The 21,850-nt window shown below is 42.7% G+C and overlaps 1 protein-coding gene across 14 annotated transcripts in view, besides 1 other annotated feature; it reads right to left on the bottom strand.

Moving 5' to 3' along the window:
• The window catches only part of CACNB2 (calcium voltage-gated channel auxiliary subunit beta 2), a 403,134-nt gene that overhangs the window by 71,285 nt on the left and 309,999 nt on the right, over positions 1-21,850 (bottom strand). The gene's annotated exons all lie outside the window — the stretch shown is intronic.
• Positions 60-279: an enhancer, noted in NCBI's record as "active region_3112". NCBI's record gives its function as "activates an Ori minimal core promoter by ATAC-STARR-seq in GM12878 lymphoblastoid cells {active_cell/tissue: GM12878}" and the evidence as "EXISTENCE:reporter gene assay evidence [ECO:0000049][PMID:35858748]".

Here is a 21,850-nt window from a genome sequence, read left to right as displayed (position 1 = left end):
AGAGCGAGACTCCATGTCAAAAAAAAAAAAAAAAAAAAAAAAAAAAAAAAAGAAGAAAAGTGGGCCGGATATTAAAGGAATTGAGACTCCTTATTCGAGAATGCTTCAGCTAGTCAACCATGGGGCTCAAGACAAGCAGAAAAGAAAGCAAAGCCGGGAAGAGAAACTGAAACCTGTAAGGTGCATATGACATCAAAGAGCAGATGGATAGGAATGGGGGCAGTGAAGGAGCCAGAGAGATGACTGTAATGAAAAAGGGAGATACGGGAGTTGAACACGTCTGGGGTGAGACATATTTGTTACTTTACATGCAGGTCTTCCAAAGGCAGTTAAACAGAAAACAAATGCCTAGTGATGTTAGGATGTTGCTTGAGTAGTATATGATATTTGTAGAGGTATTTACAATTTTTAAAACATCTTTACAGATTTCATCATTTACTACATACATTTCCCTACCTAGCGATTTCTTCTTTACCTCAATTATAAAAGGACATTTTTAAGATCCCTTCTGAGTCAGAAAGTCAAATATTTTCAACAGGTATATTAAGTACTATTATTCCCACTTTGCAAATGAAGAACATCAGATGGCAGGCCATAGTTACATGTGGTAGAGACAGGAGTCTAAGCTGTAATTCCAACTCCACTGCCCCATAATTTCTGCTCCAATTTTAGACTTTGGCTAACTAGTGCTCCAGAGGACACAGGAAAAAAATACAAAGGCGTAAACCATGGGCAGTTTCACAAAAACCAGTGGCTGCAGGATAATAGCTTCCTATCTTGCAGAAAATGATACTGACAAAGACGAATTTTTAGGTTATAAAAAATAAATATCTTAATTACATTCTGTAGGGAAAAGGGTAGTCTTTATTATGAACAAATAATTTCTTAATTTTAAGGTCTTCCAGAAACACTCATCTGACAAACTTTTCAATTCTGTTCAATACCTTTCTTCCTTTCTTTCTTTCTGAGATGGAGTTTCACTCTTGTTGCCCAGGCTGGAGTGCTGTGGCATGATCTTGGCTCAATGCAACCTCCGCCTCCTGGGTTCAAGCTATTCTCCTGCCTCAGCCTCCCGAGTAGCTGGGATTACAGGCACCCGCCACCATGCCCAGCTAATTTTTTGTATTTTTAGTAGAGATGGGGTTTCACCATGTTGGCCAGGCTGGTCTTGAACTCCTAACCTAAGGTGATCCACCCACCTTGGCCTCCCAAAGCTCTGGGATTACAGGTGTGACCCACCGCACCCGGCCCTGTGTAACACCTTTCATTTGACCACATCGATGGCTGTGGGACTTGAAATGGCATCTACCATAAAATTAACACTGTTGTTGGGAACCAGGAGAACGGACACTGGCATGCTTGGCTCATACATTCATACCCTTTCCCCTTGCATGTCAGTCTCTGTGACCAGGGTGAGTTCCTTTAAGGACAGATGGTTTCCTTTATCTTTTAATTCTGCTGCTGACACCACCACCATCCACACCCAGCATTTGAGAAAGATTGCAACAAACATCTCAATGCCTACCAGGTGCCAGACGCTGAAGACACCAAGCTAAGTGCTTGTGAAAAATCAATTTAAAGGGGGAACAGACATAGCGTAATAGGATCTGGTGAACTGCATGTATAATTTAGGGGTGAACAAACTGTATGCAAAGGCTCCATGCAATGCAACTGAAGCAGGTTTAGATAGAAAGGTGAGAGATATAGTGTATATATAATATATACAGAATAACGTAAATAGTATATATAATATACACAGTATATCATAGTCTATCCAGTATATCATATGTAATATATACAATACAGTATATCAGTCTCTATATAATATATACCACATATAATATACACCATATGTTATATACTATATGTAACACATGCTGTATATCATAGTCTATATATAATATATGCAATATATCACAGTCTATATGATATATACTATACATTATATACAATATATATATTATATACATGTTGGCCAGGCCAACCTCAAACTCCAGACCTCAGGTGATCCTCCAGCCTCAGCCTCCCAAAGTGCTGGGATTACATGCATGAGGCACCATGCCTGGCCCTGAATACATTTCTTTTTAATGTGGATTTTAAATTTTTTTATTTTGGCTAGTGCAATTATCTGGTTTTCTTAAATAGAGATGAAAACGCATTCAATAAATATATAATATATATTCAATTCCTAAGTTGAATACTTTATTTTAAATGTTCATTAATTTTCATAGATATTAACTGCAAAGTGGATTTATAGCATGATAAAGAAAAAATATGAGTATAATTAATCTCTGTTTTTGTTGTTGGGTTGTATTCAAAGATGAATAGAACCAGGACTCTTAACCTCAAGATCCCAGGACTTATTGGGGTGGATAACATTGTACATAAACATGTATAAATGTGGTTAAATAGGTTTTAATAAAGAGTAGGGAGGATTTAGAGAAACTGTATCAACCATTAGATTTATTTTTATTAGTAACTAGATATTCCTTCCATGGATGTGGTTACGATTTTATAGTAACTTCTGGACCAAACCATGAAAACACTGTTGAACTTAGTTTATTATCAGTAACTCTCCATCTCAAGAACGTCATCTCTCTGAGCCTCAATTTGTACAAATGTAAAATTAAGAGGTTAGAACCGAACTACTTGTAATACAGTCTAAATAAGTTTTCCTAAGAACCACCCCACATAGGGGTCAGACTTCTAGATTTGGATACAGTTTAGGAATTTGCTAGAATTAAGCAAGAGGACTTGGAACATGAGGTTGGTTTTCATTCAAAATACAGCTGCTAAAAAGTTGAGCTAACTGCCATGCTTGCCAACAACATATTAAATACATCAAGTGGGATGACACTAGAGAGGCATAAATATTAGCAACGAAATAAAGGAAGATGGGGTAATTGACAGACTGGTGTGAAGGAAGGAATGATAAAAACCAACCCATCCAATGGCGATGTCCATGGTGCTGACCTTGAACCCCCAAGGGTGATATAACAAACTAGGCTCTGTGCTTTCTCTTTTTTTCTCCCTGAGACAGGGTCTCCCTCTGTCACCCAGGCTGGAGTGCAGTGGTGCACTCATAGCTCACTGCAGGATGGACCACCTGGGCCCAAGCAATCCTCCCACCTCAGCCTCCAGAGTAGCTGGGACCACCATGCATGGCTGATTTTCTAATTTTAATTTTTGTAGAGACAGGGTCTCGCTTTGTTGCCCAGGCTGCTTTTGCACTCCTGGGTCAAACAATTCTTAATATTATTAAATTTAAAAATATTTGCTTCTTCATAGCAACCAGTGCCAGTTATCTGCAAACATTTTATAGTAACCACCTGGCTGTATATCACTTATGGCACCTTTAAAAAATTCAGATGCATGGCCAGGCATGGTGGCTCATGCCTGTAATCCCAGCACTTTGGGAGGCTAGGGCGGGCGAATCACCTGAGATCTGGAGTTTGAGACCAGCCTGACCAACATGCAGAAACCCCATCTTTACTAAAAATACAAAATTAGCTGGGTGTGGTGGTGCGTGCCTATAATCCCAGCTACTCCACAGGCTGAGGCAGGAGAATTGCTTGAACTCGGGAGGCAGAGGTTGCAGTGAGCTGAGATTGTGCCACTACCCTCTAGCCTGGGTAACAGGAGTAAAACTCCGTCTCAAAACAAAATAAAACAAAACAAAAAAAATCAGACGCTCAGTCTGCAGTTTTGCCTGAATGCCTGCAGATTCAGATTTACTAAGTTTGGGGTGAACTTTATATTTAGCTGTATAACTTAAAGGTTGTTTGTCTGTTTGTTTTGTTTTTACTGTTGTTGTTGTTTGAGACAGGATCTGACTCCAGGCTGGAATGCAGTGGTGTCATCTCAGCTCACTGCAACCTCCACCTCCCAGGCTCAAGCGATTCTCCTGCCTCAGCCTCCCAAGTAGCTGAAACTACATATGCATGCCACTATGCCTAGCTAATTTTTTTAGTGTTTTTTGTGGAGATGGGTTTTCGCCATGTTGCCCAGGCTGTTCTCAAACTCGAGCTCAAGAAATCGGCCTGCCTTAGCCTCCCAAAATGTTGGGATTGCAGGCGTGAGCCACCACACCTGGCCTGTATATTTAAGTTTTTCAGTAATCCTGAGAAAAATTGGTGTTTGAGCACCCCAGTTCTACAGGCTACTTACTTTCCTTTATTTCTGATCAACATGTGCCTGGTAAAGGTATGCTGTTTACTAATTTTAAGATGTAGGAATGCCATCTTCCTTAAGGCCCAAGTCATACATTGTGAATTCATTCATTTCTTTAATTCACAAAAAAACACTTTTTGGGGACACTAACAATATTGTATGTATCATACTAAGCAGTAGGGGAATTCAAAGATGAACATAACAAAACAGGAAATCAGAATCTTGTAGAGGAGACAGGCTTACAAACAATTGCAATGCATTGTGAGTACTTTAGCATAGTTAAGAACAAAAAATGGAAGTTTTGCAAAGTTGGGGTTGATAGACTGTGCCTGGGGAGGGGTTTAGAAGAGGAGCAAGTTGGCAGCAAAGTTCCCAAGGGAGGACCCATTTGAGTTGGGTTGAGGGGACAAATAAATTGGGCTCCCAGGTTCCTGACTGCCACTGTCAATGGAGAATAGTAAATTATTTTCCAATTTCTCCTACTGCAGCCCACCAGATTCTCCTTCCCTAGAAATCCTGCAGCAATTAACGCGTATGTTAGTCAAATGGCATCTGACATCTACTGTTTTGCATTGCTCTGTATCTTTTACGTAGGTCTAGTCTTACTAGACTGTAAATTCACCAAACTGCAAGCTTTTTGAGGTAGGAACCACCTCCTATTGTTTTCCCAGTTGCTGGCATACACCAGACACCAATAAATATTTGTGGACCTCAAAGTTAGACTTAACACTCTCTGGGAACACAGACAGTCTTCAAGTGTGAAATTGCCAATACTGAATTTGAACACCAGTGTTGATGCCAGTTAGTAAATATTTGAATCTTGTGGCAAAAGGAGAATGCAAAGTGAATTTATTATTTCAATTGAATTACTTTAGAATAGATTATTTCAGAGTTTTCAAAAAATGACAATGTTTTTCTGTTTCATCCTATTCCATTTATTTATTTAACAAACACAGAGTCTTGCTCTGTTGCCTGGGCTGTAGTGCAGTGTTGTGATCTTGGCTCACTGCAACTTCCGCCTCCTGAGTTTAAGCAATTCTCCTGCCTCAGCCTCCCTAGCAGCTGGGATTACAGGCACCTGCCACCATGCCCGGCTAATTTTTGTATTTTTAGTAGAGACAGGATTTCACCATGTTGGCCAGGCTGCTCTCAGCTCCTGACCTCAAGTGAACCGCCCGTCTCGGCCTCCCAAAGTGCTGGGATTACAGGTGTGAGAACCACACCCAGCCTCATCCTATTCCACTGAAAACATTATTTCCACATTATTCGGACATTATTAAATTCCATAGTTTGTTTAGACATGCTTCAATCCGGGGCCCAGTTTATTAACATATTTCTAATAGTTGTGGGTCTGGAACTTGTCTCCCTACCAGGAGCTAGAATTTTTAGATGAAAGATTGTGAAGTCCCATTAAAGTGTGAATCTCTTATTCCTTCAGAAATTGCTAGTATCTACAATGGATTCTCAAATTAACAGCTACAAACGAAATCAATTTTCTTACATCTGCCAAAACACCAGGAGAGAACCTTCTATGTAGGACTTTCATATAATTCAAAAATTAACAACCATGACCAAAAAACCAAGCTGATGAGAAATACAGGTAAAATATTGACAGGCTGAGGCAGGAGCATTGCTTGTGGTCAGGAGTTTGAGACCAGCCTGGGCAACATAGTGAGACCTCGTCTCTGTAAAAAATTTAGCTGGGCATGGTGGTGTGCTGGGACCTGTAGTCCCAGCTATGCAGAAGGCTGAGGCTGGAGGGTTGCTTCAGTCCAGAAGTTTGAGGCTGCAGTGAGCTATGATCATGTCACTGCACTCTAGGCTGGGTGACAGAGCGACACTGTCTCTAAAAAATAAAAAATATATAGATTAAATAGGCAAAAGACGAACTCCAGCTTTAGTGTCTGGAAGTTATAACTCTACTTCAATGGTTGAAAGGTTTTATTTGCTACTTAGGGATTCTTGGCTTCGTGCACCGTAACTGGAATGTCAGATAAGTCATCCCCAGGGTAGGGAGGTGTGCCTGTATGTGTTTGTCAAGTGTTGTCACTCTCTTGGGAGGTTTAGATAATTTTATTAAGTGCCAAAATGTTCAGTAACAAAACCTTTATAAAGAAGTTGGGGCCGGGCGCAGTGGCCCACGCCTGTAATCCCAGCACTTTGGGAGGCTGAGGCAGGCAGATCACTTGAGGTCAGGAGTTCGAGAGCAGCCTGGGAAACATGGTGAAACCCTGTCTCTACTAAAAATACAAAAATTAGCTGGGCGAGGTGGTGGATGCTGTAATCCCAGCTACTCGGGAGGCTGAGGCAGGAGAACTACTTGAACCTGGGAGGCAGAGGTTGCAGTGATCTGCAATCATGCCACTGCACTCTAGCATGGTTGACAAAGGGAGAGGCCATCTTGAAAAAAAAAAAAAAAAGAAGAAGTTGGATGACGTACTTATCTTTGGGATCAACAAGACTAAAAGGGAATGTGGAACACTGTGCTTCCTTTTGCATGCATCCTGGGAGGAAGTAACCAGGACCACATGAAGGTAGGGTAATGCTATGGAGAGAAGAGGAACACACGCTTGGGACTAGAAGGTGGAACGAGGGTGCTCCAAAAACTCAACCTGCGGCAAGAAGCAGGATTACACTCTCATCTTCTCATCTGTACATTTTTTCCCAGGTGATTTTATTTGCCTCCATGGCTTCAAGTACATCCTATCATGGATGATTCCTATATGTACATATTTAGCCCTGAAGTCTTGTTTCTAGTTTATTTATTTTTACTGAGACAGAGTCTTGCTTTGTCGCCCAGGCTGGAACACAGTGGCATGATCTTGGCTCACTGCAAACTCCCACTCCCAGGTTCAAGCAATTCTCCTGCCTCAGCCTTCTGAGTAGCTAGGACTACAGGTGTGCATCACCAAGCCCAGCTAATTTTTATATTTTTAGTACAGATGGGGTTTCACTATGTTGGCCAGGCTGGTCTTGAACTCCTGACCTCAGGTAATCTGCCTGCCTCGGCCTCCCAAAGTGCTGGGATTACAGGCGTGAGCCACCATGCCCGGCTGTTTCTAGTTTTCTATATCCAACCACCTCCAAGAATATCCATCTGATCCTCCCACAGCTCAACAAGTCCCAAGACGAAGTCACCTGTTCAAAGCCTGGCCTTCCCATCTGCCCCATTCTGTTGAATATCCCTTTAACCTGGACTCCTTCCTCTTGGTTCTTTCCCACTTTGCATTGGTTCACTAGAATCTGCATGTTCTAACCACTAAATACATAGTTTTAAAATGCCTCCCCTCCTCTCCCATTCCTACCGCCCCTGCGTAAATGCAGATGCTGTCAATTTTCTCCAGTTTAACTTTTTGAACACGTTGGAAAGGAATAAGAGCAGAAGCAGAGTCCAGATGAGAGTGGATGGTGGCTTGGAGATGTGTGGTAGTGGTGAAGCTGGGTGTATTTTAGAGTTATTATAGAAACAACAGGGCTTATTGATGGCTAGGGCCATTATTGAAAAGGGGGAGCCTGAGAGAAGAACATGTTGGGTGGTAGAGGTGGGCAATCAGGTGCTCCGATTTGGGTAAGTTTGAGGTCCGTGTGAATATACAAGTGGGGAAGCTTGGAAATAAAAATTGAATCTAAGAGTGAGAAGTAAAGAGAAAAGAGCCAAATTCTTTTTTTTTTTTTTTTTTTTTTAATTTTTGAGACAGGGTCTCACTCTGTTGCCCGGGCTGGAAGGCTGTGGTGTGATCACTGCTCACTGCAGCCTCGACCTCCTTAGGCTCAGGTGATCCTCCCATGTCAGCCTCCCAAGTAGCAAGCATGGACCACCACACCTGGCTAATGAAAAGAGCCAGGTTCTAAGTGCTAAAGAACCCTAACTTTGAGAAGTTATGCAGAGGGATAGGAGTCTGTCTGTCCCTACCACTCCCTCCCCAAAAGAAAAAAAAAAAGAACTGGCAAGAGATGTCCAGAGAACATGGTGTCTCAGAAGCCAAGAGCAGAGAACATGTCAAGTTGGAGGTAGGGTTCAACGATTGTGAAGGCCGCTGACAGCTTGGGTAAGATAAGACGATGTTTATGACTTCTCTGACAGCACAGAGGTTGTTAGTGGCCTTGTTGGGAGCAATGTGTTAGAGCTGTGGGAGGAATATCTGGACATGAAGAGGAGAGGAAGGGAGAAGTTAAGTGCAGACCACTCATTTGTCAAAGGCCTGGCTGGGAAGGGGGGCAGAGCTAGGAGGCTGCATGGAGCGGGAGGAGCTGGGATGTGGTGTTTTGGGCTCTGATCATGGGCCACTCCATAATGTCCATAATATGTCATGCTGATGGAGTGATCCAGTAGAGAGGGGATGACTAGATGCTGCAGGATAGGAACTCTTGGGGCCAGGCACGGTGGCTCCCACCTCTAATCCTGCTTTGGGAGGCCAGGGTGGGCAGACTACTTGAGACCAGGAGTTCCAGACAGTCTGGGCACCATGGCAAAACCCCATCTCTACAAAAAAAAAACAAAAAACAACAAAAAAAAAACAACTAGCAGGGCATTGTGGCGTGCACCTGCAATCCCAGCTACTCCGGAGGCTGATGTAGGACAATCACTTGAACCTGGGAGGTTGAAGCTGTGAAGCCGCAGTGAGCTATGCTTGTGCCATTGCAATCCAGCCTGGGTGACAAAGCAGGACCTTGATTCCAAAAAGAGAAAGAAAAAGTCTTGGAAGGTGAGAAACAAAGAACACAAAAACTTTTTTTTTTTAATAGATAAGAGGTCTTGCTATATTGTCCAGGCTGATCTTGAACTCCTGGGCTCAAATGATCCTCCTGCCTCAGCCTCCGAAAATGCTGGGATTACAGGTGTGAGCCACCATGCCTGGCCAAGAACAGGAGGATTCTGACAGGAGGAGAGATGCTTCTTCTAACAGGAGGGAAGAAGGAGAACACACAAGGGGCACAGATAAAGGCAGGTTTACAGATTTGGTGGTGGCAAGATGAGGCTGTTGCTATCTGTGAAGTTTTTATTTCTTAGTGGAGCATGAAGTGAGGTCAATAAATGAAATAAGTGGCCGGGTGCGGTGGCTCTTGCCTGTAATCCTAACACTTTGGAAGGCCAAGTTGGGTGGACCATGAGGTCAGGAGTTCGAGACCAGCCTGGCCAACATGGTGAAACCCCGTCTCTACTAAAAATACAAAAATTAGCTGGGCGTGGTGGCACACACCTGTAATCCCAGCTACTCATGAGGCTGAGGCAGGAGAATCTCTTGAACCTGGGAGGTGGAGGTTGCAGTGAGACTAGATCGTGTCACTGCACTCCAGCCTGGGCAACAGAGTGAGATTCTGTCTCAAAAATAAATAAATAAAAATAAAAAATAAAATACGTAAGTAAAAAATATAAAATACTAAAAAATGAAAGAGATACTTTTCACTTTTTAACAGTAAAAAGAGATGCTAAAAATACTGAAAGCAAAAGAGAATACAAAGTTTGAGGGACAGGGAAAGGTATAAAAGTCCTCTCAGATGATATGAAAGTGAACACTGTTTACATTTGCTTAATAAATAGTTCCTAGGCAAGGTGCAGTGGTTCATGCCCATAATCCCAACACTTTGGGAGGTCCAGGTGGAAGGATAGCTTGAGCCCAGGAATTATGAGGCCAGCCTGGGCAACATAGCAAGACCCCATCTCTACAAAAAATACAAAAATTACCTGGGCATGGTGATGTGCACCTGTAGTGCTAGCTACTTGGAAGACTAGGTGGGAGGATCGCTTGAGCCCAGGAGTTCAAGGCTGCAGTGAGCTGCGGATTGTACCACTGCACTCCAGCCTGGGTGACAGAGTGAGACGCTGTCTCAATCAATCAATCAACCAACCAGCGCTCCTATTTGCTGTCTTACAGGCAGTGTAAAAGCTATTTCTGTTTTTAGACAGCTTAATAATTTCTTATAGTGAATATTCTGTCCCAGGATCCTTGGACATTTTACAAAGCTCTGGAGAAAGATTATGAAATCAAGACTGCTGGGAATCTCATGCAAGAAGTTCGTGTGCATGGGGAAAATGAGCAAAACACAGTACCGATTCTCTAGAACGGGATAGATTCCTGGCTGTGAGGGTGGAGAGGTATCTCTTCCTAAAATAAGTGAACAACCAACATGGAAAAAATAAAATTTCAGACATCTCTCCAGAGCTCCAGGAAAGTTTGCAGATGCCAAGGCAGCTATGTCTTATCAGATACTGGATAAACTCCCTCCTCGAGTGCCAAAGGATAGATTGGAAGCCACTGGCATTTCCCACTCATACTGTTCGAGGAGTTGCAGAGTTGGGTGATGGTACAACGCCAAAAAAAAAAAAAAAAAAAAAAGCTTTATCGAAATGCCTAAAGCAGGGGTCTCCTGCACAGCTGGGGGCGGTGAGCAGTGGGTGAGTGGGTGGCATTAGATTTTCATTGCAGCGTGAACCCTGTTGTGAACTGCACATGGGAGGGATCTAGGTTGAGACTCTAACTAATGCCTGATGATCTGGGGTGGAACAGTTTCATCCCAAAACCATCTCCCACCCCCTCCCCACCTGTGGAAAAATAGTCTTCCAGGAAACTCGTTCCCTGGTGCCAAAAAGGTTGGGGACCACTGGCTTAAAGCACACACATTCAAAAAATATAAATATATCTTGATAGAATCAGGGAAGTCATGAACACTGGATTTGAAAGGAACTGAAAAGGGAGAATGCTATCAAACAAGAAAGTTAAAGCCTTGAAAGGGGTCTGACCAGAGAGTGATCTGTTACAGCAAGACAGTCACTCTGGATAAAGTTCAAAAGATAAAGGTGGAATAACGCCTGGCACCTTGAGGATAGGGATCGAAAGAATTGTGTGTAATTGAAGAAGGGATGCTGGTGTAAAGATAGAGCAAGAAAGGCAGGGCGCAGTGGCTCATGCCTGTATTCCCAGCACTTTGGGAGGCCGAGGTGTGCAGATCAGGTAAGGATGGGTGATCAACATGGAGAAACCCCATCTCTACTAAAAACACAAAATTTTCTGGGCGTGGTGGCGCATGACTGTAATCCCAGCTACTCGGGAGGCTGAGGCAGGAGAATAGCTTGAACCCAGGAGGCGGAGGCTGCAGTGAGCCAAGATCACGCCATTGCCCTCCAGCTTGGGCAACAAGAACGAAACTCGGTCTCAAAAAAGAAAAAGGAAAGAAAAGAAATAGAGCAAAAAGTGGATTTTTTTTTTTTTTTTTGGAAAGATCTTGCTTTTTCACCCAGGCTGGAGTGCAGTGGCACTATCACAGCTCACTGCAGCTTCAACCTCCCACGCTCAAGTGGTCTTCCCACCTCATCTTCCTGAGTAGCTGGGGCCACAGGTGTGCCCTACCATACATAATAATTTTTGTATTTTTTGTAGAGATGGGGTTTCACTACATTGTCCAGGCTGCTCTCGAACTCCTGGGCTCAAGTGATCTTCCCGCCTTGACCTCCCAAGGTGTTGGGATTACAGGTGTGAGCCAGCATGCCCAACCAGAATCCTTTATTTATTTTTTTAAATGGGAGGGTTTCAAAGACTTTTTAACCTGCCGAAAAGAAAATCTTCCCTGGCACCATCACTAAACTCAATCTCTAGGCTTGTATACATCAGAACTCCCACAGGAAAAAATAGAAATAATTTTGAAATATCCCTACACATATTAGAAAAAGTCAGTCCTACTTAACTATCAGAGCTGTGTGTATAAATGTTGTAAGTGATGAATTTGAGAAAGGCTTCCCTTGGAACTTATCCCTACTAAACCTCCGAGAGCTCATCATTCAGAGAAAGAATGTAAATGTGCAAACAGAAGTTGAATACATTGGGCTAGAAGATAATCCCTGGTTCTTTCCAACATGCTTTATGTTAATCTACTGACAGCCACAAACAAAGAGGTAAAACATGAATTAAAACAACACTCCTAATCTCTCCCAGGCCTTTCTTTTATGCATGATTATAGATGTCCATGATCCCACTTGCCATTTGAGAATATGTGTGTACGTGTGTATATATGTATGGACATATACATACATAAATAATAATGTAAGATATGATTTTCTTAAATGAAACCCAAATATGTTAGTATTCGACTTTTTTTCCTTTTCTTTTGAGATGGAGTCTCGCTCTGTTGCCCAGGCTGGAGTGCAGTGGTGCGATCTCGGCTCACTGCAACCTCGGCCTCCTGGGTTCAAGTAATTCTTTCACCTCAGCCTCCCGAGTAGCTGAGATTACAGGCACCCATCGTCATTCCCAGGTAATTTTTGTATTTCTGTAGAGACAGAATGTTGGCCAGGTTGGTCTTGAACTCCTGACCTCAGGTGATCCACCCATCACGGCCTTCCAAAGTGCTGGGATTACAGGCGTGAGCCACTGCGCCCGGCCAGCATTCTACTTTTACAAACAGCTGGAGAGTAAGAACTGCCCAAATAACTACATAACATATCTAGAACATTATGGATCTTTTTAGTTAGCAATAATATGATACATAATAATAAAAAAGGGAGAAATAACTATTTGCTGTTTTTGGTGAATTTCACCCAAGCATTGGTCATGCCATAGAGCACCACAGCCAGGTGAGAAATTCTTAGCTCCTAACTGGCAGCACCACTGTATGGCTGTGTAAAGCCTGGATGATTCAGGTATTCCCAGCATTGAGGTGATTTGTGGTGTGGTGGCGGTCAGCCCCATGAAACTCTGAAAGAATGGTCTCAGTCCAGAAAACCACAAGTCCCATGGGATAATCTCAGCCACCTCCTTCCTTCAAAATTGTTCCAAAGGATAGTGATATTTCTGCAGAAGAAACAGAAAAATGATAGCTGGGAGGGGCAAATGACAATTGGTCTAATGTTTCTAGTGTCATTAGGACATGAGATTTTAATGTTCTTGGCTATAGCTGTGACAATGAGGCAGCAATATTCTTTTGACAGAAGCCAAAACTGTATGTTTTTAAAATTTTTAACTAAAAATTCATAGTATCTTCAATGTTGAGCTATCAACAGGAGCAGAAGTCTTTTTAAAAAATGTTTGTGAAAGTTCATCTTGGGCCAGGTGCAGTGGCTCGCGCCTGTAATCCCAGCACTTTGGGAGGCCGAGGCGGGGAGATGACCTGAGGTGAGGAGTTCAAGACCAGCCTGGCCAACATGGTGAAAACCCATCTCTACAAAAATGCAAAAATTAGCTGGGCATGATGGCGGGTGCTTGTAATCCTAGCTACCTGGGAGGCTGAGGCAGGAGAATTGCTTGAACCTGGGAGGCGGAGGTTGCAGTGAGCCAAGATCACGCCATTGCCCTCCAGCCTAGGCAACAGAGTGAGACTCTGTCTCAAAAAAAAAAAAAAAAAAAAGTTCACCTTACTTTTTTCCTACTGTTAATAGTATAATAGTATGCATAGGCCTTTGAATTAGTTGGCCATTGCAGTTAGGATGCTAATAACAAGTGAAAAAAAATCTTGATTTTATTAGGACTATTATTTATATCCTTTGGGACCTTTTTGTCTTATATGTAGGACATTTCTTAAAATTTTGTTTATTAATTCCATGTTAAGGCATGAAGAAAGACTATGGAAGAGTTTCTAAATGATACTGTTGTAATTATTCATTTGTATGTACCCAGCATGTATTGAGACTAGTATGTGTTGAGTACTAGTATGTACTGAGCATACAGTAAATGAAACAGACACAATTCCCATCCTCATACAGTTTATACAACCTTTTAGAATCAATGCAAGTAGGAATTCACCACATGCAAATTAATAGTAAAACATGAAAGTCAACTAGAATAAAATTTTCACATTTCCTAGACTTTTACAATACTTGATTTGCCAAATTTGTTTTTGAACTTGAATCTCACTATTTTTATCTTAAATTATGACTCCACAGGAAGATATGAATTCATTTGCAACAGAAAACCTTAATAGATTTTATTACTTAGTTTCAAACAAGCGTAAATGTTTGCATAGTCTAAAATACTTGTATATTTTTAAAGGGAGTGTTTCATAAAAGACAATGAGATAGCAGAATTGGTTAAATGATTTCTCTGCATCATCAAAATATTTCAAAAATAATTTTCTGGCTTAGTGAAATGTGTCTGTAGTCCAAGGCTGGTAATTATCTAAAACAATTAGCTGTGTTGAGAACAAATACATTCTACTAAAAATAAGTTGATTTTTATATTTAGTACTTCTCCAAACATTTTCTCCTTTTTTTTTTCCTTTTTTGAGATGGAGTTTTGCTCTTGTCACCCAGGCTGGAGTACAATGGTGCAATCTTGGCTCACCACAACCTCCGCCTCCCGGGTTCAAGTGATTCTCCTGCCTCAGCCTCCCACGTAGCTGGGATTTCAGGCATGTGCCACCATGCCCAACTAATTTTGTATTTTCAGTAGAGACGGGGTTTCTCCATGTTGGTCAGGCTGGTCTTGAACTCCTGACCTCAGGTGATCCGCCCACCTCAGCCTCCCAAAGTGCTTGGATTACAGGCATGAGCCACCGCGACCGGCCCTCTCCTAATTTTTCTTTTACTCTAAAAAGTTAATGTAAAAGACTGCTGCTGTGCTAAGGAGAGCTGGGACATATTTAAACTAAGGACTATTACCCAGCAGCATCTTAAAAGGAGGCATTGCTATGTGGGAGGAACTTAATTTATGCTATACAGTCTAAGGTGATAGCATTAAGTTTTCTGAATATAATTAATAGAGTTTATTTCAAAAGTTCTTGGAGGGCCAAGTGTGGTGGCTCATGCCTGTAATTCCAGCACTTTGGGAGGCTAAGGCAGGAGGATACTGTGAGCCCAGTAGTTCAAAATCAGCCTAGGCAACATACAGAGGTCCCGTCTCTATAGAAAATGAAAAATTAGTTGGTTGTGGTGGCGCATGTCTGTAGTCCTGGTTACCCAGGAAGCTGAGGCAGGAGGATCACGCAGCCCCAGGAGGTTGAGCCTGCAGTGAACCATGACTGCACACTGCACTGCAGCTTGGACACAGAGTGAAACTCTGTCTAAACATACACCCACACCCAAAGTTCTTGGAGGTGTATTTGTGCACCCATGCTCATAGCATCATTACTGACAGTAGCCAAAAGTCATGATCTGTGTGTAGACTATGCCCAGTGGTAGAAGGCAGAGGTCTGAAGGGCCCTTAAGGGGAGAAAGGGAACAGGAGGAAGGCTGCATTATTTACAGTAGCCAAAAGGTGGAAGCAACCCGAATGTCCACCAATAGATGAATCAAATAAACCCAATTGTGGTATATGCATACGGTGGAATATTATTCTGCCTTAAAAAGGAAAGAAATTCTGATAAATGCTATAACATGGGTGAACTCTGAGGACATTATCCTAAGTAAAATTAGCCAGTCACAAAAGGACAAATATATGATTCCACTCATACCAGGTAGTTAGAATGGTCAACATCATAGACGCAGAAAGTAGAATAGTGGTTGCTAGGCCTGGAGGAATGGAAAGTGATACAGTTTGGATCTGTGACCCCACCCAAATCTCATGTCAAATTGTAATCCTCAGTGTTGGAGGTGGGGCCTGGTGGGAGGTGATTGGCTCATAAGGGTGGCCTATGAATGGTTTAGCACTATATCTTGGCGCTGTTCTCGTGATAGGATTCTCATGAGAACTGGTTGTTTATTTTATTTTCTTGAGATGGAGTCTTGCTCTGTCATCCAGGCTGGAGTGTAGTGGGTGTGATCTTGGCTCACTGCACCCTTCGCCTCCCAGGTTCAAGTGATCCTCCTGCCTCAGCCTCCCAAGTAGCTGGGATTACAGGTGTGTACCACCACACCTGGCTAATTTTCCTATTTTCAGTAGAGGCGGGGTTTTGGTCAGGCCGTTCTCGAACTCCTGGCCTGAAATGATAAGCCCGCCTCAGCCTCCCAAAGTGCTGGGATCACAGGTGTGAGCCACCGTGCCTGGCCAAGATCAGTAGGAAGTTTCTTAAGGGAGAGGCATTATGAAAGTGGTCATGTACATTCATCTGTCAAGAAAGTAAAGATTCCATTAAATAGAGGAAGAAGAATAATTGACAACAACGAGACTGGTTCAGTGGGAAATGGAAAAAAAGGCAAGCATGTAGATGTCTGTAAACGCAGGAAATATCTTATTTCCGGTGTAACTGCACAAACTATCCTTGGTATAAATAGAAACATCAGCTTTAATGGAACAAAATGTCACCCTCAGTGAGCATCCTTCATGGACCATCAAGCTAGGCCATGCCTCATTTCACTGCCAACCAGTGAAGCTCAATTCTACTCAGCTAATGAAAAGAAATTCTGCTAAAAGGATAGAGTTAGAAGCCCACCACTTTTGCTGGGTTATGACCTTCTTATTATCATACTAAAGCAGAATCCATTTGCAGTTGCAGAACAGCAGCTGGAACACAGATGGGGCCTGCAGAGTTAAAACACTTAAGGAACCTTAGTGCCTTAACCTTCTTAAAATTCCTGAAAGATAAGCAAGTGAAAAGTGTTGAGTGATATACAATTTGCCCTTGGGCTAAGTTCCATTACTAAAAACTCCTTCACCAGCATTTTCTACACCAACTTTATACACTATTTATCCCCTAAGGAAGAGCCAGTTGGTATTTACCTGTGTGAACACAGGTGTTCCCAACAGAATTAACCTCCAACAACAGCAATAGCAGAATGTAAACCAGATTACTCACTCTTTCTCTGAAAATGTTTTCTTATCTCCAGGAATCTTCAAACACAGCTCTCCTACCTCAGTTCTTCCAAGTAACTCTATCAGCACTCATCTACCTAATAACTTAAGTGCCGTTTCTAAATCAAAGTCTTAGGCAACACTTTCTTACTAAGTCACCAACCCAACCTATCACCAAGCACTCTTGGAGTCAACCAGCCCCCACATGTTCCTTTCCAAACTGTGCAATGACTGCTGTGCATTTGTCTGTCACACTTTTTCCTAAAAATATAAGTTCCTCTGATGCACCTTTTAATGCTTTTTCCAGAGGCACATATTGGTGGATATTATTATGTGAACTCTCATTATGACTTTGGTGTTGACTTTTCACGTCAATGAGTACGAATACCACTTTTTTTTTTTTTTTTAAGAGATTGGGTCTCACTCTGTCACCCAAGGCTGCAGTGGCACAGTCATAGCTCACTGCAGCCTTGAACTCCTGCACTCCAGTGATCCTCCCACCTTGGCCTCCACAGCAGCTGGGACCACAGGTGCCTGCTATCACGTCTGGCTAATTTTTTAATTTTTTTGTAGCGGGGGGCAGTCTTTCTATGTTGCCCAGGCAGGCCTTGAACTCCTGGCCTCAAGCAATTCTCCTGCCTTGGCCTCCCAAAATACTGAGATTGCAGGCGTGAGCCACAGTATCCATCGATATCACACTTTTGAAAAAACCAGTATCATCTGTCTCCTCCATTGGAAAGAAAATTGTGCATGTGTGTGCTTTTGAAATACTACACAGTCCATTGACATTTAAAGTGCAAGTACTGTGCAGACGTACCAACTGCATTTTCTTTAAAACTTGGTCCTATGATTGATATTAAATGCTTTAATATATGCATTCCCAACAGGGGCAATCTCATCCCCAAGGGGGCAAACGTTTGTTCTTAGGGGGTAAAAAAACAATCTTACTCATTTTGAGTATAAAGTAGAGATACACATACAGTACCTAGAAAAATACACGGTGGTATAGACATGTCTGTGGTATGAAATTTTATGGAGGGAGGGATGGTGATTAGGAAAAAAACTGCCTAGAAAAGGCCCCTTAAGGGGGCGATTAATGACAAAGGTTGAAAAACGCTGGTTTTAAATGAAACATTAATGTTAATACAGTAACACAATATAGGTACTTATTAGGGATCCTTGAAATCTGTAGATATCATTTTCTGTTGGACCCTTTCTCTAATTCCTGAGTATTTGGTACTACTTCCCCTGAATGTTCCTAAGGGACAGAACCCTTCTCCCATCAAAGCACCCATCACTCTACATGATAACTGTCCATTTTATTTTACCCCTCACTGTCCTGTTTACATTTCAAGAGAATAGAGACTGTCTTCATTCATTCATTATTTATACAATACCTATTGTGGGAAAGGCGCTGGGCTTGTTCCTGGGAGTACAATCAGAAACAAGTGAAACACAAACGCAGGCCTCCAGGCACCTCCATGCTACTTGTTTAAAAACAGACAAGTAATCAGCTGGTCATGGTGGCTCACACCTGTAATCCCAGCACCTTGTGAGGCTCAGGCAGGCAAATGACCTGAGGTCAGAAGTTTGACAAACAGGAGTCTGGCCAACAGGGTGAAACCTGGTCTCTACTAAAAATACAAAAAATTAGCCAGGCATGGTGGTGCACGCCTGTGACCCCAGCTACTTGGGAGGCTGAGGCACAAGAATCATTTGAACCTGGGAGGCAGAGGTTGCAGCCAGCCGAGATCGCGCCACTGCACTCCAGCCTGGGCAACAGAGCGAGACTCCGTCTCAAAATAAAATAAGGCAAGAAATTGGTAAGTATGTGTACGAGACAATCTATGAACTCTTTCATTAATGTTCTGTGGAGGAAATAAACAGGGTGATACGAGCGGCAGTGCTCAAGAAGTCTCTGAGGAGGAGACAATGAGTTGGGACATAGATGACAGTGAGTAGGTAGGAGGGGAGAGATTCCAAGCCTCATGGAGGGACAGAAAGAGCTCAAGGGAGCAGGCCTGTGGAGGCGATGGAGGGAGACAAGAGTACCTGCTAGGCAATGAGGTGGGACTGGCAGGAAGGACACTGGAAAGTCAGGCTGACACGAGCTAGTTTACGCACTGCCTTTTAAACCATGAGAAGGAGTTTGATTTGTCTAAGAGTAATAGACAGTCACAATAGGTTTTTAGGTAGGACAGAGACAGGATCCAATTTAAGTGTTAAGAAAATCCCTCCAGCTGTCGTGGGGAGAGAAAATCAGGAAAAGCAAGAGAGAGAGGAGGAGACAGGTCAAAAGGCTGTTCTAATATTAATAGTTCCAGGGAGACAAAACATGGCTTGGACTAATGAGGTAGCAGCAGAGATGGAGAAAAGTGGATCAGTACAGATCATCTGAGCAGGGGAGAGAAACAGAGAGGAATCGAGGATGCTTTCGGCTTGAGCAACTGCATGGATGCTATGATGTCAGCGGAGATGAGATTTTTATCTTGGTTTTATCCCTGACTCTGGTTTGTGTTGGCCTCTTCAACCAGGTCTGCTATCAAGCGTGGGATATTCTAATATCCTTCTGCACTAAGGTATAGTCCAGTAAGAATCTACCAGGTATACTCATTAAGGAATGACTAGAGTCAGCAAAAGCAGCCAGGGTGCTGCTGGTAGGCCAGAGAACCTTTTTTGGTGAACAAAAATATAGAAATCATCCTAGGTAGAGAACTTCTGTCTATAAGGCTAACCTTGCCCGGTGTGTTGGTGTGCACCTGTAGTCCTGGCTCCTCAGGAGGCCAAGGTGGGAGGATGGCTTGAGCACAGGAGTTTGAGGTGACAGGGGAGCTATGATTGTGCTACTGCACTCCAGCCTGGCTAACAGAGCAAGACCCTGACTTTAAAATATTAAATTAAAAAAGGTCAACCTTGATAACCTTTATTTTTGCAAAGATTAATTGAAGATAGTCTTTTGATGTGATATTAGCTAGATAATTTTTTTTTAAATGTGCTATGGTTCTACTTATTATTATTTGAGACACAGTGTTTCTCTGCCACTCAGACTGGAGTGCAGTGGTACCATCATGACTTACTGCAGCCTCAGCCTCCTGGGCTTAAGCAATCCTCCTGCTTCAGCCTCCTAAGTAGCTAGGACTATAGTCATGCCCCACCACGTGGGCCCATTCAATTTTTTTTCTATTTGGTAAAGACAGGGTCTCACTTTGTTGCCCAAGCTGGTCTCGAGCATCTGTCATCAAGCAATCCTCCTGCTCAGTCTCCCAAAGTGTTGGGATTAAAGGTGTGCATCGCTATGCCCAGCTGTATTTTTATTATGACTTGTTCTGAAAGGCCATTTATTAATTTACTAAGATAGGAATAATTCATGAAGATGCAAACTTTTTATAGGAGATAGAATTAGGGCATTGAGAAGAGACAGGTATATGAGTGTGCAAGGGGAATACAGCCAGATGGGAGGTTGGGTCACCTCTTTTACCCTTGGCAACCTGAATTTATACAGCTGTTATGAGCTAAACTGAATACCACAATAGATTATGAAGACAACATAACAGCATCATAAATAGAGCCCTATCTAGATGTAAGCTATGACATTAGCACCTAGCATTCTGTTCAAAGATGTGTGCCTTCAAAGTTAAATGCAATGAAAACGCAGGTTTCACTAGCTTGTCAATATCTGTAGTGGTGATAACGAACTACGTGATGGGTGAGCATAAGACATACCCCAGAGCTGTGACACAGGAGAATATGTGAGTGTGAAGGGAACTGCGGAGCAAAAAGTCCTTGCAGGTGAGAAGTTTCCTCTCTTCTGGGAGAGGAGTAACAAAGAAAATGGTCAAACATCCTCTGCAGGGGAAAAATGTGTTTATCGGAAAAACACAGCCCTAAAGACATTGAGTTTCCTAATATACACCAAATCAGAAAAACTTCACATTGAACAAATTCTGTCGCAACCTAGTTTAGAACAGTGCTAAACTGATGTGGCAGATGTGATGTGTCTTCATGACAGAAACTCTCTATCCATGACTGCAATGAACAAAATCTGAAACAGAGCAGGGGCCAGGTGGGAGGTGACAGCTTGTGGGTCTACCTGGTCCAGGAACCCGAGACACACCACTATGCTTCTAAATCTCTTCTTAAAATTGCAGCTGGGTATTTATAAGATTAAACTACCCAGATGGCTGCTTCTTTATTTTGGATCTCTTCATTAAGTAGTTACTTTTCTCACATCAGGAGGCTGATAAATAAGGAGAAATGCAAGAACCACTGAGGAAATGCTCAAATGTGTCCAATTCCCACCATCCTTCAAATCCCAGCTCTGCACTAATTTTCCCCCAAGGTCTGCTCCAAGATATAGAGCTGACTTTAATAGATTTTTATCGCATGTATAGGTAAGATGATAAAATTTCCCAGTGATTCCCCTATTATGTGTTATCCTAGCTGCTGAAATATGTCCCAAGTAACATGTTAAAATATTGGTAGTGATTCTTTTCATAAAAAAAGCAAACGGGGCTGGGCGTGGTGGCTCATGCCTGTAATCCCAACACTTTGGGAGGCCAAGGCGGGTGGATCACCTGAGGTCAGGAGTTAGAGACCAGCCTGGCCAACATGGTGAAACCCGTCTCTACTAAAAATATGACAACAACAGCAACAAAAATTAGCCAGTCATGGTGGTGCACACCTGTAATCCCAGCTACTCAGGAGACTGAGAGGGGAGAATTGCTTGAACCCAGGGGGCGGCGACTGCAGTGAGCCGAGATGGCACCACCATACTCCAGCCTGAGTGACAGAGTTAGACTCCTCAAAAAAAAAAAAAAAAAGAAAAAAAAGCAGCTGGAGCTGGCGAGGGTCATTTTTACACTATTTTGCTCCCTCTCCCGTACTCTGACAATGCTTTTCTGAAGAAGCAGTGAGAAGGAACACCCAGTCCTGGGGGATTCCTTACGGCCCACATCTTCTCTGCCTTCAACTGCAACCACGTGTGAGCTCCCCCATCACACTGTTTCGACATTATTCACCACAGG

Source organism: Homo sapiens, chromosome 10 (assembly GCF_000001405.40).
Source record: "Homo sapiens chromosome 10, GRCh38.p14 Primary Assembly".
NCBI classification, from domain to species: domain Eukaryota; kingdom Metazoa; phylum Chordata; class Mammalia; order Primates; family Hominidae; genus Homo; species Homo sapiens.
This window is presented reverse-complemented; position numbering and strand designations above follow the sequence as displayed.